Genomic DNA, 15,473 nt, shown 5'->3' with positions numbered 1-15,473 from the left:
CCACAGCGGGTGGGAAGAGCAGGGACAACGGGCTGAGACGCCCACAGCGGGTGGGAAGAGCAGGGACAACGGGCTGAGACGCCCACAGCGGGTGGGAAGAGCAGGGACAACGGGCTGAGACGCCCACAGCGGGTGGGAAGAGCAGGGACAACGGGCTGAGACGCCCACAGCGGGTGGGAAGAGCAGGGACAACGGGCTGAGACGCCCACAGAGGGTGGGAAGAGCAGGGACAACGGGCTGAGACGCCCACAGAGAGTGGGAAGAGCAGGGACAAAGGGCTGGGACGCCCACAGCGGGTGGGAAGAGCAGGGACAACGGGCTGAGACGCCCACAGCGGGTGGGAAGAGCAGGGACAACGGGCTGGGACACCCACAGAGGGTGGGAAGAGCAGGGACAACGGGCTGAGACGCCCACAGCGGGTGGGAAGAGCAGGGACAACGGGCTGAGACGCCCACAGAGGGTGGGAAGAGCAGGGACAATGGGCTGAGACGCCCACAGAGAGTGGGAAGAGCAGGGACAAAGGGCTGGGACGCCCACAGCGGGTGGGAAGAGCAGGGACAACGGGCTGAGACGCCCACAGAGAGTGGGAAGAGCAGGGACAAAGGGCTGGGACGCCCACAGCGGGTGGGAAGAGCAGGGACAACGGGCTGAGACGCCCACAGAGGGTGGGAAGAGCAGGGACAATGGGCTGAGACGCCCACAGAGGGTGGGAAGAGCAGGGACAATGGGCTGGGACGCCCACAGCGGGTGGGAAGAGCAGGGACAAAGGGCTGGGACGCCCACAGCGGGTGGGAAGAGCAGGGACAATGGGCTGGGATGCCCACAGAGAGTGGGAAGAGCAGGGACAATGGGCTGAGACGCCCACAGCGGGTGGGAAGAGCAGGGACAATGGGCTGGGACGCCCACAGAGGGTGGGAAGAGCAGGGACAATGGGCTGGGACGCCCACAGCGGGTGGGAAGAGCAGGGACAATGGGCTGAGACGCCCACAGAGGGTGGGAAGAGCAGGGACAACGGGCTGGGACGCCCACAGCGGGTGGGAAGAGCAGGGACAATGGGCTGAGACGCCCACAGAGGGTGGGAAGAGCAGGGACAACGGGCTGGGACGCCCACAGCGGGTGGGAAGAGCAGGGACAACGGGCTGAGACGCCCACAGAGGGTGGGAAGAGCAGGGACAATGGGCTGAGACGCCCACAGAGGGTGGGAAGAGCAGGGACAATGGGCTGGGACGCCCACAGAGAGTGGGAAGAGCAGGGACAATGGGCTGAGACGCCCACAGAGGGTGGGAAGAGCAGGGACAATGGGCTGGGACGCCCACAGCGGGTGGGAAGAGCAGGGACAATGGGCTGAGACGCCCACAGAGGGTGGGAAGAGCAGGGACAACGGGCTGGGACGCCCACAGCGGGTGGGAAGAGCAGGGACAAAGGGCTGGGACACCCACAGCGGGTGGGAAGAGCAGGGACAATGGGCTGGGACGCCCACAGAGAGTGGGAAGAGCAGGGACAATGGGCTGGGACGCCCACAGAGAGTGGGAAGAGCAGGGACAATGGGCTGGGACGCCCACAGCGGGTGGGAAGAGCAGGGACAATGGGCTGGGACGCCCACAGCGGGTGGGAAGAGCAGGGACAATGGGCTGGGACGCCCACAGAGAGTGGGAAGAGCAGGGACAATGGGCTGAGACGCCCACAGAGGGTGGGAAGAGCAGGGGCAATGGGCTGAGACGCCCACAGAGGGTGGGAAGAGCAGGGACAATGGGCTGAGACGCCCACAGAGGGTGGGAAGAGCAGGGACAATGGGCTGAGACGCCCACAGAGGGTGGGAAGAGCAGGGACAATGGGCTGGGACGCCCACAGCGGGTGGGAAGAGCAGGGACAACGGGCTGAGACGCCCACAGAGGGTGGGAAGAGCAGAGACAACGGGCTGAGACGCCCACAGCGGGTGGGAAGAGCAGGGACAACGGGCTGAGACGCCCACAGAGGGTGGGAAGAGCAGGGACAATGGGCTGGGACGCCCACAGCGGGTGGGAAGAGCAGGGACAATGGGCTGGGACGCCCACAGCGGGTGGGAAGAGCAGGGACAATGGGCTGAGACGCCCACAGAGGGTGGGAAGAGCAGGGACAACGGGCTGGGACGCCCACAGCGGGTGGGAAGAGCAGGGACAACGGGCTGGGACGCCCACAGCGGGTGGGAAGAGCAGGGACAATGGGCTGAGACGCCCACAGAGGGTGGGAAGAGCAGGGACAATGGGCTGGGATGCCCACAGCGGGTGGGAAGAGCAGGGACAACGGGCTGAGACGCCCACAGAGGGTGGGAAGAGCAGGGACAACGGGCTGAGACGCCCACAGAGGGTGGGAAGAGCAGGGACAATGGGCTGGGACGCCCACAGAGGGTGGGAAGAGCAGGGACAACGGGCTGGGACGCCCACAGAGGGTGGGAAGAGCAGGGACAACGGGCTGAGACGCCCACAGCAGGTGGGAAGAGCAGGGACAACGGGCTGGGACACCCACAGAGGGTGGGAAGAGCAGGGACAAAGGGCTGGGACACCCACTAGCGGGTGGGAAGAGCAGGGACAACGGGCTGAGACGCCCACAGCGGGTGGGAAGAGCAGGGACAAAGGGCTGGGACACCCACTAGCGGGTGGGAAGAGCAGGGACAAAGGGCTGGGACACCCACAGAGGGTGGGAAGAGCAGGGACAAAGGGCTGGGACACCCACTAGCGGGTGGGAAGAGCAGGGACAACGGGCTGAGACGCCCACAGCGGGTGGGAAGAGCAGGGACAAAGGGCTGGGACGCCCACAGCGGGTGGGAAGAGCAGGGACAAAGGGCTGGGACGCCCACAGCGGGTGGGAAGAGCAGGGACAACGGGCTGAGACGCCCACAGCGGGTGGGAAGAGCAGGGACAAAGGGCTGGGACACCCACTAGCGGGTGGGAAGAGCAGGGACAAAGGGCTGGGACACCCACAGCGGGTGGGAAGAGCAGGGACAATGGGCTGAGACGCCCACAGCGGGTGGGAAGAGCAGGGACAACGGGCTGGGACACCCACAGCGGGTGGGAAGAGCAGGGACAATGGGCTGAGACACCCACAGCGGGTGGGAAGAGCAGGGACAAAGGGCTGGGACACCCACAGCGGGTGGGAAGAGCAGGGACAATGGGCTGAGACGCCCACAGCGGGTGGGAAGAGCAGGGACAAAGGGCTGGGACACCCACAGCGGGTGGGAAGAGCAGGGACAATGGGTTGGGACACCCACAGCAGGTGGGAAGAGCAGGGACAGGGACAGCGCCACTGGCTACTGGTGGACAGGGGCCAGCAAGGTCAAGGGTGCAGGCTCTGGGGCTGAAGGACAGCAAGGACCCCGTTTCGACTGGCGGTAGGGGGAGGGTGGGAGGGCACCTTATGAGACAAGGTGGAAAATGAGGCCAGCAGGAAACAGGGAAGGAGGCCAGGGGTTGGTCGCAGCAGGCTGCAGGCGGCCCTGGGGGAGGGGCCCGGAGCAGCAGGCAGAGGGCCTGGGGCCTGGTGGGGAGCAGTGGTTTCCAAGGCTCTTTAAATGCAAAGACCACCACCCCATCCGCCTTATCCCTGCTGGGAGCTCAGATGCAAAGAAGCCTCTCCAAAATGTCACCATGGGAGGGGGGAACCTGCCACCGGCGTCTGCGGAAGAGAGTGTTTTCTTACAAGGAGGTGCCGGGGGCCCACTTCTGCCGGCCGCCATAGGATGGAATTTGACTTCAAGGTGATCCGCCAGCGCGCCTGTCTGGAAACCCCGCAGCCGGCTTTGAAGTCAAAGTCTCGGTTTCAATGGCTAAACAGTTTCAGATGTGACAATGTAGTTTTACGGGCTTAATAATTCCGACACATGTGCAGCTGGGGCCCAGAAAGGCTACAGCAACACTGTGCGCCAGTTCCTTCCAGGCTGTGCTTGCTATTCTGAACTTCTGGTTCTAAAGTGAAAGATTTAAGTACTATGAGACTGAGGCCCTGTGGGGAGGGGCTGGGGGGGGCTGGGTCGGGGGCAGGGGTTGGGACGGGTGGGTGGGTGGGTGGGTGGGTGGAGGGGCGGGGGGCCGGGTCAGCGGGAGGAGCAAAGGGGCTGGGAGGTGGGGGGCCGGGGGGACCGGGCAGGGGAGCCGGGCTTCCCACATAAGCCCTAGATACATTCAGACGGAGCCTCCATATCTGAGAGGCATTTGCAGATTTTGCCCATCGGTTCTTCTGGGTTTGAGAGATCTTTTAATAACCACATGTGAAATTTATACCTAGAAAAGCAGTAACTTTGGGGTCAAAAGGTCTCCTAAAATACTCAGATGTCCTCACAAGCCAGAGTTCTGCTGCGACTTAACTTCCTATAAGACCAGAAAATAGAAATGTTTCTGTCTCCCTCTTCATCCTGCCTCACAGCAGCTTTTCATCATCTGGATTGTTTAAATGGGAAAACGTGGAGGTGCCACACTACCCACGCCCCTCACTCCCTCACTACAGGGCTTTTGTGTTGGCATCCGCCCCCTCACCCAGTAAACGCCCTAAGCCCAGGGAGGGTCTCTGCAGTGCCCACCCCTGCCACGAGGGTGGACGCTCAGCCTAAGGGGACGACTGACCACACCAAGGGGTAAAGGGGCACCCAGCCCAACCCACGGGGCATCCTTACAAGTGGAAGTGAAGAGATGAGTTACAGGGACAGGCCCAGGGCTGCCCTGCCCATGAAATAAACCCCAACGTAAAACACATGCAGAAAAAAAAAAAAAAAAAAAAAGACAAGCAACACGTGGTCAGCAAGACCTGGCTTTTTGACCAGGCAGCCGAGCTTCCCTCTCCCCACGCTTGGAGAGAGGGACTCAGGGAGCACTTTACCCGCATTAACCGACGCGGATGGGAGGGGGAAGCTGTGAGCGCCACTGGGCCCACACCTTGGCTCAGGAATGGGAACCCACAGCCCTCCCAGAGTCTCCATCGTCAGCTAGGTGTGGCTGAGGCTGAGCAGGGTGACTAGGGGGTGGGGGTGGAGAGCAGGTGTCTTGAAATGAAATGTCTTCAGCTCAGGTATTAAATACAGACCTACGTACATGTGTGTGTAACCTCTATACATGTATGTATACACGTGTGTACTCACATATGTGAACACATCATACATACACCTACATATACGTGTGTGCGCCCCTGCCCAGATAATAGAGGCGTGATCATAAACTCTGCCGAAACTTTATTCCCTGCCTTCAACTCTCAGCATCCTGAAGTGCTGACACTGAATGTTAGACAACCATTTCACAACTCATCTGCAGGTCTAATTTTCTTCTCCCAGTCACGCCTGCTACTGTCTTTGTCTTCAGAGCTAACGATCCCCAATGTCACAGAAAAAGGAAAACCTTCCAAATTCAGCTGCCACCCTCAGCTTACCATCCAGAGCGCAGAACACACAAAATAAAACCACGACTCGGGCCCTGAACTTCCGAACTGCTGCACCCTCAACCGCCCCACTCAGAGGAGGCTGAATTCCACTGGGATTGAAAGCAGACCCGAATCCACTTCTCTTCTATCTGAATTCTTCCCCGGGAAAAACCCACCGGACGTTTTTGTTTTCTTTCATTCATATTAAAGCCTCATGTTTCCTATTTCAAAGGAAGATTAATTCCAAAGCTGGAAAGAACCCTGCCGCGTTTCAGGGTTTTCTTTTTTCTAATTTGGAAGACACCATATGTGAACATGCAACGTCGATGTCCTTACCAAAGAGAAACAGCGGAAAATGCTGGTTGAGGGGCTTATATTTGATTACAGCTCCAGACCCTGGGGACTGAGCTACTCAAACAAGTAATCAAGGCCTTTTCTTTCTCTAAAGCACCCCCGTCGCATGCCCTGCACGCGACAATCTCAGAACCTCCACGAGGGCCCTGCTGTGGCTGGCGAGAGGCTCCACGAGATGAAAGGAGGGCCCAGTGGCCACCTGCGGCTTTGCTATTGGCCGAGGCTGCAGAGGGCTCTAGGGGGCAGGGGCTATGCCTGGCGGCTGCCGTCCACACAAGCCACAGCCCACTCTCAGGGGAGAGCGGTGAGAACCCCCGCGTGAGAGGTAAAAATTGTTCAGAGAAGACCACGCGCATCTTTGTTACGGGACACACAATCTCGTCTCAGGAAGGGCACCGGATCCAAGGCCTGGAGGCTGCAGGGTTCTCGGGATGAGCTCTGAGCCGCACACAAAGACACCCTTACAGCACGTCTTGGGGTCACTCCAACCGCAAAAGAGGAGCAGCTGGCACAGGGGTGCCTATAGTGGGTATAATTGGCAGGGGAGGTGCAGGCAGCCAGGACCACCGCCCCGGTCACTAGAGCTAGAGGCAATCACAGCCCCGCCACAGGGATAGCGGGAAGGTGACGCTCTGGCCTGGTCGCTATGCCCTTTGACCCAGGACTCACCAACAGGGCTCTGAGTCTCCCAGACTGGGCTGTGGACAGAGGCGTGACGTCCCCACCTGCTGCTCCCCTAGATGCCCCAAAGCAGGGATGGTGCTCTCTGCCCTTTCGGAGGCCAAGGATGTTCCTCCCTGTGGGCCCAGCTTGTGACACTCTCTCCCCACGACAGGCAAACAGACCCCGAGAATGGGCCTCTGGGGCGGCTTCCCCTGGGCACAGCTAGGTGGTTGGCATGGGCAGGGCTCCCCTCATACACAAGATGCCTCCAAGCAAGGCCTGGCAGGGTCCTGACCACCGGCCAGAAGCATCCAGGCCACCTCTGTGCTCCGGCCTTGGGCCTTTCTGCTGGGCTCGGCTCAGCCTGTGGGCAGCTGCCAGTTCTTGCCACCTCTCCCTGTCACCCTGGGGACAAGGGGGCTGGGCGTCACCATCTGAGCACAAGCCCCTGAGTCGCCCTGACTGTGACCAGTCTCTCCCCCCAACACACGTGAGCCCGCTGCCACCTAAAACATGTCTCAGGCCTAGAAAAGCTCATGAAATACCCGCAAGCACCTTCCCCAGGCCCATGTCCGCTTTGTTTTACAGAAAACCTAAATCGCTTTCAACAAATCAATGGGAGGAGAGGAAGGGCCAGAAGCCCCTGCTAGTGGTCCCACCTGCTCCACAGATGTGAGGATGGGGCTCGGAGCCCGAGGAACATGGCTTGCAGGGTGGGTGGGGTCTTCCACCCCAAAGTGTCACCCGAGGGTCATCCGGCAGGTCTGCAGCTGTGGTGCTCCTCACAGACACCAGGTCTGGCCTCCCACAGCACAGAGACCAGTGCACATCTGTAGGCTGTGCCCGTGGCTCCTTCTGGCAGAGGGAGATGGGTGGGGGCCGCCATTCTTCTTCCTCCGCTGTGTCTCTCGCAGCCCCTGCCTGCTACCGTCCCGTCCTCCAGGCCTACTCCTGCCTCAGGGCCTTTGCAGTGGCTGCCCAGCCTGGAAGCCTCTGGGGGGCCACGCTTCCTCCATGCCTCCTCACCACACACTGTCCTGACACCCACATCAAGTGGCAGCCCCCGCCCCTGCCTGGCCTGTCCCACACCCCAGCACCACAGGCCCTGCACCCCAGCTCGGCCTCTCTCACACCCCAGCACCACGGGCCCTGTACCCCTGCCTGGCCTCTCCCACACTCCAGCCCAGCATCTCTCACACCCCAGCACCACAGGCCTGCACCCATGCCCGGCCTCACCCGCACCCCAGCACCCAGAGCCCTCCAGGCCTGCCTTCCAGCAGCCACTGTCCGGTTCTCCCAGCATCCAGAAAGCAGCTCAGGCCCTGGGGCTGCAGGGCGGCCCCGTGGTGGGGGGCTGTGGGCTCTGGGAGGGACTTCTGGTTTGGGGTCCTGGCTCCGGGACTCAGCCCTTCTGTTTTTGTTTCCTCCTTTTGAGGCGGTGCCCAGGACAAGCCTGTGACAAACAGAGGTGCAGGTCCTGCTCTGTCCAGCAGCACAAGGCAAAGACAGCCCTGGAATCCCACGGCTGGAAGCCTACAGCAACGTTCTTTCGTGTTACACCACAGCCCTCAGGAGCAAAATCAGGGCCACTGAAATGGCCCCTGCTCCAGCTCTGTCTGGGGCTGGCTGGTCTCAGACATGAGTGGCTGCCCTGAAGGGTGCAGGGCACACGGACCTGGCCACTGGCCTGGCACGCCCTCGGGACAGTTGAGCTGGGTGCACCTGGGCAGCCAAGAGAGCAGGCGGTGATGGTGGGCAGAGGGACATGGGGTCCCTCTGAGGACCCCAGGACGCTGAGGCCCAGACGCCAGCCACAGAGAGCCAAGCTACCCACGTCCCCGGGGCAGCAGGGAGGCCACCAGGGGCAGCAGCTTTGCACCATGTCCAGGCACGTCCTGGTGAGAAGTAGGATAGGGTCGGCTCTGCTATCCTTTGTGGGAACGAGGATGAGGTCGGCTCTGTTATCCTTTGTGGGAAGGACGAGGATGAGGTTGGCTCTGTTATCCTTTGTGGGAAGGAGGATGGGGTCGGCTCTGTTATCCTTTGTGGGAAGGAGGATGGGGTCTGCTCTGTTATCCTTTGTGGGAAGGAGGGTGAGGTCAGCTCTGTTATCCTTTGTGGAAAGGAGGATGGGGTCGGCTCTGTTATCCTTTGGGGAAACGAGGATGAGGTCGGCTCTGTTATCCTTTGTGGAAAGGAGGATGGGGTAGGCTCTGTTATCCAAAAACAGCTGCTGTAGCTCTTGTCACGTCCCCCTTAGCGGATGTGAGAGGCCTCGTCCTGGAAGTACATCCACGCAGGACCACGGCCTTAAGGGCAGGTGGGAGCCCTGGAGGGTCCTGCCAGCTACCGACGTGAGTGCCTCACGGAGAACCTCACTGGAGACAGCAAGGAGGGACCCCCGTTTCCATCGGCCTCTGGCAAGGCTCTCAGTCTAAATCCGCCAAGACACTTACCATTAAAATAATCTCCAATTTGAATGTTTGTATTACAATATTTCGTGCTTTTTAGCTTCTCTGATTTTGGTGCGCAAAACTATTTACGATTTCCTTGGAAAATTCTGCAGAACAAAAGGAAAACAAACCCTCCCCCTCCAGCTGCCAAGGGCTGGCCATCACCACCAGTGAATTCCAGCTCTGCGCAGGACAGGATCGAACAGACCCAATTTGTTTCACGCCAGCGTGAAAGGCTGCCAAAGGGTGCCCTGCCAAGTATTTGCCAACATGAAAGCAGATTAAAGCTCCCATCAGCCAGCATGGGTGCAGCTCGCCGTGAGAGCGGATCGGGGTCTCTGCAAGGCTCCTGTCCCAGCAGGTCCAGGCTTCGCAGTCCAGAGGCGGCAGCCAGGTCAGCACCGTGTGTCCCTCCAGGCCAGCACCACGAGCTCCGCCCCACGCTGGGGAAGTGTCCGGTGTGGGGGGGGATCCTGCTACCTGGGCAGACCCCTCTCACACACCGCGCCTTCTGCTCCCCATGGTTCCGGCGTTAACCCAGCAGCCCCACAGGAAGGGCTCCTTCCGCACCTCCAGGGACAGCTGACGGTCATGATCTGTGACAGACGACGGCTCAGAAGGTGGCAGAGACTGAAAGCTCTGGAGCCCTTGGAACTGATTAGGGGTCCTGGGCTCGGGACCCCTCCCCATGTTCAGGAAGGCAAGTCCAACAGGAGAGGGGCCACGGCTGGTAAGACCTGTGAGAGGACGGAGCCACAGGAACCCTCCAGCATGAATGCCCCAGGACGCAGCACAGGCCCCCTCGGGTTCCACACATGGACAGGCCGATCTGCAGTCCTGCTGGGAGCAGCCCACCCTGAAATGCTGGCGGCAGCATGTGCGGGCAGGACCGCCTCTAAATGCTGACCTCACCCCAGCAGTGGCTCCTGCTTCCTCCTGCTTCCTGATGCTCCTGAGGCTTCCCCAACTCCCTAGGGGTGTCATAGGCCTTTCGTCATAACCCAGGGAGTTTCTGATGCAGGCATCTGTCTGAGAGCCCTGCAGGAAGGACATAGGGCTCAGCCTTCAGAGCTCCAGGGACCCAGTGATCTGGCAGGTAGCTGTCTACAAATTCTGGGGTAGGCTGGGCAACTCCAAATTCAGGTGTGTCTGGCTTCAAGAACTACCGCTTCCGTAAAGTGTGGCTTTGCCAACTCAAGAACAGCAGCCAGGAGGCCAGAGGCTTCCTCTCTACAGGAAGGACGGTGGACCCCACTCCCACCCACTGGCCTCTGCTCCCACCACACCTGGCCACGCCAGGGAGGCTGTGGGCACTGCCAACCAGTGAGAGCTTGCTGACAGCTCAGATGACTGTGCAGTACGAATCAGGCCCACAGCATCTTGGCACAAGCTCACGGACTCACGCACCCCTCTGGCTTGCAGCACCCCGGCACTTGGGGCAAAAGGCCAGGAAGGGGCCCGGCCACACCTGGCTGCTCTCCAGGTGGCCCTCGCTGCCTGGCCTTATGGAGCGTGGAGCTGTCCCTTTTGTCTTTCCTCACAGGACCACAAGGGGAAGCAGGTGGCCCAGGCACGAGGGATGTGGCCAGGCTGTGAGTGGCAGCACCGGGTCCGAAGCCGGGTCCAGAGGCTGTCAAGCCACCATGCAAGCCGCCTCTGCTAACGATGGGATGACAGAAACCTGGTGCTGGCGAGGGGGCCACACGTAACACGGCCATATGGTGGCTCCCAACTATGGTCTTTGACTAGGACTTCATTCACAGCCTCTGTCGGGGCTGACCAAGTGGGTATCCCTTGGCCGCAAAGCGGGGGTGGAGGACAGGAGCCCTTGGCCCAGACTCCTGGCTTCCTGAGAAATAGAAAGAGCCGAACCCCCAACCCTAGCCTAGACAGGACAGTGGCAAGGTGTGTGTTTCCCCCAGTCGGGGCCTGGACCTGGGGTGGCCATGGACTTACTGCCAGCTCTGAACAAGCGGTGCCCACCCAGGGGCAAAGGAGAGCCAGCCACTCCTACAAGGCAGATGAAACTGCATTTCCAATCTCACCATCACCTTGCTGCTCACACGGGAGGCATGCACAGCAGGGGCCCAGGGCACCGAAGGGCACTCGTGGATGGGTACTCGAGACGGCCCTGCCCTTTCTGGCACAACTGCCTTGGCCGGCACCAGCCACAGTTCCCGCGGCTCCCAGGAGTCGCGTGTGCGTCTGATGGACCCCCAACACCCTAATGCAGGCATACGGCGGCCCAAAGCTGCAGGGCTGATGATTGGTTTCCGAGGATTGCAAACCAGCCTGGGTTTTTTAAGAAAAGGAAAGATGTAAGCTCTTTAGCCAAAACAAGATGAAAACCTCAAAGGAATTCAAATTACTCAGCCACAAGTAGGAAGGAAGGAGGACGGAGCAGCACCAGGCTTCCCATGGTGGTTCAGCCCACTGAGGAGAACAGGGTGCAGCCACCTGTCTTCTTTCACCTGCAGAAATCTAAAACTTCAGCTCATTCAGCAGCAAAATGGGCAGTTTTAGCTTCAGGAAGCTGTTTTGGAAGTCCAGGGGTGACAGCTGCCCCAGATGGCCTCGTCTGTGAAACCCCCAACTCTAGCCCAAGGCCCTGTGGCAGGGACGCTCTGTGCTCCAGGGCCTCCATCCAGACACCTGCCTGGTCCATGTGCAGGGCTTCTCAGGATGCACTTCACAGACACAGGGGCCGACACTGAGAATGCACATCTGCACTGTCCAGGTACAGTGACCCGAGCGGGCAGGACCACGCCACTGGCCAGCCTCCGGCCTCCACCATGGGCAACACAGATCCACTGGCCCAACCTCATGGCCAGGCACCGGCAGCAGCCTCTCCCAGTCAGCACGCTCTCCCAGTCAGCACCCCAGAGCCCCTGCTGCAGGACAGGGGATGCCTGCGGCTTGGTGGAGAGCTTGGGCGCACACACAGCCCTCAGTGGGCCCAAGGCCCAGGCTGGCACAGAAACTACATACATGGTATCCAACCCGTCCTATGGCTCTCAGGTGCTGGGCATCAGGTGTCATGCCCAGAGGTGACCTCGACGCCTCCCACAAGGGGGGATGACCAGGTGGCCTGGCAACTCCCTTCGGTTCCCTCTGTGCCTGAGCCTCTGTGCATGTCTGTGCTGGCCTCGCCACATGGCTGGGCCACATCCCAGGGTAGGAACACGGCTGCCTGTATCCAAGGGCCAGGCACACAGAGGGCACCAAAAAGAAAGCAAAGGGCAGCCATGACACACTGCAGCTGCCGCCGGCTCTGACACAAAGCCCCACATGGGCCTCAGCTCCATGAGGACACAGGGTCCCGGAACATGAGTCACAGAAGACAGAAGGTTGGCCCTCAGAGTCTGTGCTGGAGGCATCCCCAGGCACCCCTGCTCCCTTTGGAAGCTGCCATTCTCCTGGACATCTTGGAGTGGCTTGCACCCCCAAATGCAGAGCTGGGTGGACTGGGCACCCACAACCTCTCCTTCTGTGTGGCACGTGGCCGAGCACCAAGCAGAGTATGGTCCACACTGCCTTGTCTCTGGGCGCACGTGCACTGGCCCGAGTCTCTCCTGCAAATGTGTATCTTGCCCCCACCCTGCATCTCTGTGTTGATGCGGTAGCGTCCAGACTGTGCTTGAAGCCATGAAGAATTTTCCAGGATCTTCTACAAGAAACTGCTCCCACTGACCAAGAACTGGGCATCCCACTGCCACATCCAGCTCTCTGGACCCACAGAGGACAGGTGAGCGCTGGCTCCTGGGTGGCCAGGAGGGGCAGGGAAGGGGCAGGGAAGGGGCAGCCCCACCCCTGCCTCTGGGGGAAGGCCAGCTGCAGGCATATGAGCCTCTGGGGCACTGTGGCTGGTTCCAGTCGGAAGGCGTCAAGCCATGTAGTGGGGCTGAGCCCAGTTCCCGTGAGCAAGGCCATGCTGAGGGCAGATGGAGTTTGCTGCTGGAAGCCAGAGGCCAGTGCAGGTGAAGGCCTGGGCCCTGGCCTGGAGCTCAGCCCTGGACAGAGCCAGCAGGTCTTACGACTGTGGTCCTCCTGGCTCCCTTCCAGGAAACATGTACCATGTTGGCACACTCAGAAGGGCCGTGGCATGGGGATGGGACTGGCGAGTGCCTCCTGTAAGCTGGGACCTGCCCTAGACGGGCCACTCAGAGCCGTGCCTGCTGCCTCCTGCAGATGTGGGCAAGAGCCCCCCGTGCAGGCCAGGGCCACGGCCTCCTCCACGCACTGGCTGGTCTGTCACGAGTGTTCGCTACAATGCTGCCTCTGGAGTTAGCCCCAGCGCACCCTTCCTCAGCACTACTTCATGGAAGCCTGTGCTCCATTCACAACAACATTCCAGTTAACAGTGACTCTTGTCTTCAGAACCATTTTCCGCCAGCCTCAGGGAGCGCTGTAGAAATTAAAGCTAGTCTCGCAGACCAGATGGTGAGGGTGAGTGTGCAGGGGCAGCCTGTTCCCAGGCCTGAAGCCATCCTCCCTGCAGTCACTACCACTTGGAAAAACAGCCACACAAGTGCACTGCCACCATGGCACCACTCCTCACCCACGCACATCCCCAGGGACTCCGGATCCCTCACAATCCACTCTCCAGACCTTCACGGCACCGTCACCAGTGATCCCATGGCCCTAGCCCTTCAGGGACACTCGGTGATGAAGCCGTGCGGGTCCCGCCAAAAGCAAAGTGTGGCGCTCCGCAGAGTCGCCAGGGAGAGCCACGTCGGGGGTGCAGAGACACACCTGTCTGGGAAAGTGCTGCTGTTGGTGTTTTCAGACACGTACAGAGGCAGGAGCCAGCATTGCTCACAGGGAATTAATAATAGCCAATCTCATTTGTGTTATTTTGGGGGCTGGGGAGAGAGGGTAGGTCGGAGGTCTTGGCTCTTAGTGCGCCCAATCTCCACAGGGTTCTCTGCCACCGTTCTGTGGCACCCAGGATGCCTCGCACGGAACCAGGAGGTGGACTTTGGAGAAGGGAAGGAGTGAGTCCCCTCGCTGGCCCCAGCCAGGCATCACAAGGGGTGCCCTGGGTGACCCAGGACTGGCCCTCCTCAGTGGATACCACCTGGGAGGACAAGGACGATGGGCGAGGCTCTGGACAACACAAAAGAAGAAGGTGAGAGCCAGAGGGACACTTCGCTGTGGTGGCCTGCGACTCTCCTGGACGTCAGTAGGATCTGTCGCAGGGGGAACAGCTGCCAGGTGAGAGGAACAGCAATGTGGCAGGGAGGGCACTTGGCCAGGTGAGGGCGCACCTGGGCCCTGGGGTCTCCATGCCAGGTGGGAGGAGTCATGGCCAGAGGCGGAAAATACAGAAAGGCAGCACTTTTGTCTGAAAGCTGAAATGTATTTAATTCACAGGACAGCCTTTGATTCTGAGTTTGTTCATTTTAACTTAGAAAGGAGTTTTCTTTCATGAAATGATGGCAAAATTAGAAGGTAACAATCCAAGCAAGCCCCAATTCCCAAGCTATTCTCTAAAGAAAATGTCCCAGTGTAGAGTGGCAGGTCTAAACGCCCACGAGCAGCCCTCACGCTGACATCGTAGTCACATGAGGAGCACCTGCATTTTCCAGAGCGCACTGGCCTTGCCCCATGGCCCTGGGAGCTGCACTTCATGGTGAGGGCGCTGGCTCAGGGATTTTAAGGTTCATGGTGCAGCGCCTCCCAGGGAGAAGGCTCCAGGCCAGTGGGCCAATGGACAGGGGCCGGCCAAAGCCCTGACCACGAGAGAGGTGAACGCCCGCCCACCCCAGGTGCTCACATCACTGACTAATCATACCAGGAGCACCTGGCTGCTAAGTGGCACCATCCACTCACCAGCAAGCCCCTGTGCAAATGTAACTGGCAGAGAGAGCCAGATTGGGGCGGGGACAGCTCCCTGGATGACCTCACCCTGGTCTCCCTGTCCCGGATAGAGGCTCACAGGACCACCCAACTTACTGTACCTTACAGCGTGCTTCCCACCATCACAGGCGTTAGATGGTCACTCTCAGGAAGCACCAATCCTAACTCTATTGCATGTTAATTTCCAAGCAGACCTAAGCCCCTTCTCAAGACAGAGCTGCAGAAAATGTCTCCAAACACACCCAGAACTTTTTTTAATCAACTGCCAGAACAATGTCTTTCCAAAAAGGAAACTGATTGCGTGACCCGGCATGTTCTGTGTCTGGGGACCTCTGGGGACAGTGGGGGAGGAAGCAAGGGGCAAGTGTGGGCCTGGCCACCTGGTGGGGCTGTCTGCACCGATACAGTTCACACTGACACTGATGACCATCAAATGTTAGCTTTCTCACGCTCAGCAAACATGCAGGTCTAATTTACCCCAGGCCCTTCCAGGGCCCCAGACCTGGACAGTTCTCTGCTCCTGGACATAGCACCTTCCTCACCCACCCTCAGGGCCGCCTGGCTCTTGAGCCAGCCTTGCAGTCTCTGCAGCCTTGCCACAGCTGTGCAGATGTCCCTCTGTCTCCTGAGCCTCTAGCAGGCCTGTGGTCACCCCTCCCAGAGATGGGAGGCACCGAGGCCTCTGACTCTGGCCATGTTTGCTGATTGAGCACTGAGGCTATGACCAGTGATGCCCCAGGTCTGTAGCTCCCACCCCTCCTC

At 60.0% G+C, this 15,473-nt stretch overlaps 1 protein-coding gene across 5 annotated transcripts in view, besides 6 other annotated features; it reads right to left on the bottom strand.

Moving 5' to 3' along the window:
- The window catches only part of NKD2 (NKD inhibitor of Wnt signaling pathway 2), a 30,142-nt gene that overhangs the window by 13,524 nt on the left and 1,145 nt on the right, over positions 1 to 15,473 (bottom strand). The gene's annotated exons all lie outside the window — the stretch shown is intronic.
- Positions 131 to 790: an enhancer, noted in NCBI's record as "NANOG-H3K4me1 hESC enhancer chr5:1024745-1025404 (GRCh37/hg19 assembly coordinates)". NCBI's record gives its function as "activates a minimal SCP1, AML or CMV promoter by ChIP-STARR-seq in naive and primed H9 embryonic stem cells {active_cell/tissue: H9 hESC(naive and primed)}" and the evidence as "EXISTENCE:reporter gene assay evidence [ECO:0000049][PMID:30033119]".
- Positions 2,777 to 3,438: an enhancer, noted in NCBI's record as "NANOG-H3K27ac-H3K4me1 hESC enhancer chr5:1022097-1022758 (GRCh37/hg19 assembly coordinates)". NCBI's record gives its function as "activates a minimal SCP1, AML or CMV promoter by ChIP-STARR-seq in naive H9 embryonic stem cells {active_cell/tissue: H9 hESC(naive)}" and the evidence as "EXISTENCE:reporter gene assay evidence [ECO:0000049][PMID:30033119]".
- Positions 6,058 to 6,228: a silencer, noted in NCBI's record as "fragment chr5:1019307-1019477 (GRCh37/hg19 assembly coordinates)". NCBI's record gives its function as "represses an EF-1alpha promoter that drives an FKBP-Casp9 reporter gene in an ReSE screen in K562 erythroleukemia cells {active_cell/tissue: K562}" and the evidence as "EXISTENCE:reporter gene assay evidence [ECO:0000049][PMID:32094911]".
- Positions 6,058 to 6,848: a biological region, named in NCBI's record as "H3K4me1 hESC enhancer GRCh37_chr5:1018687-1019370".
- Positions 6,165 to 6,848: an enhancer, noted in NCBI's record as "H3K4me1 hESC enhancer chr5:1018687-1019370 (GRCh37/hg19 assembly coordinates)". NCBI's record gives its function as "activates a minimal SCP1, AML or CMV promoter by ChIP-STARR-seq in primed H9 embryonic stem cells {active_cell/tissue: H9 hESC(primed)}" and the evidence as "EXISTENCE:reporter gene assay evidence [ECO:0000049][PMID:30033119]".
- Positions 7,981 to 8,481: an enhancer, noted in NCBI's record as "H3K4me1 hESC enhancer chr5:1017054-1017554 (GRCh37/hg19 assembly coordinates)". NCBI's record gives its function as "activates a minimal SCP1, AML or CMV promoter by ChIP-STARR-seq in naive H9 embryonic stem cells {active_cell/tissue: H9 hESC(naive)}" and the evidence as "EXISTENCE:reporter gene assay evidence [ECO:0000049][PMID:30033119]".

Source organism: Homo sapiens, chromosome 5 (assembly GCF_000001405.40).
Source record: "Homo sapiens chromosome 5, GRCh38.p14 Primary Assembly".
NCBI classification, from domain to species: Eukaryota; Metazoa; Chordata; class Mammalia; order Primates; family Hominidae; genus Homo; species Homo sapiens.
Note: the sequence above shows the minus strand (reverse complement) of the source record. Positions and strands in the feature narration are given on the sequence as shown.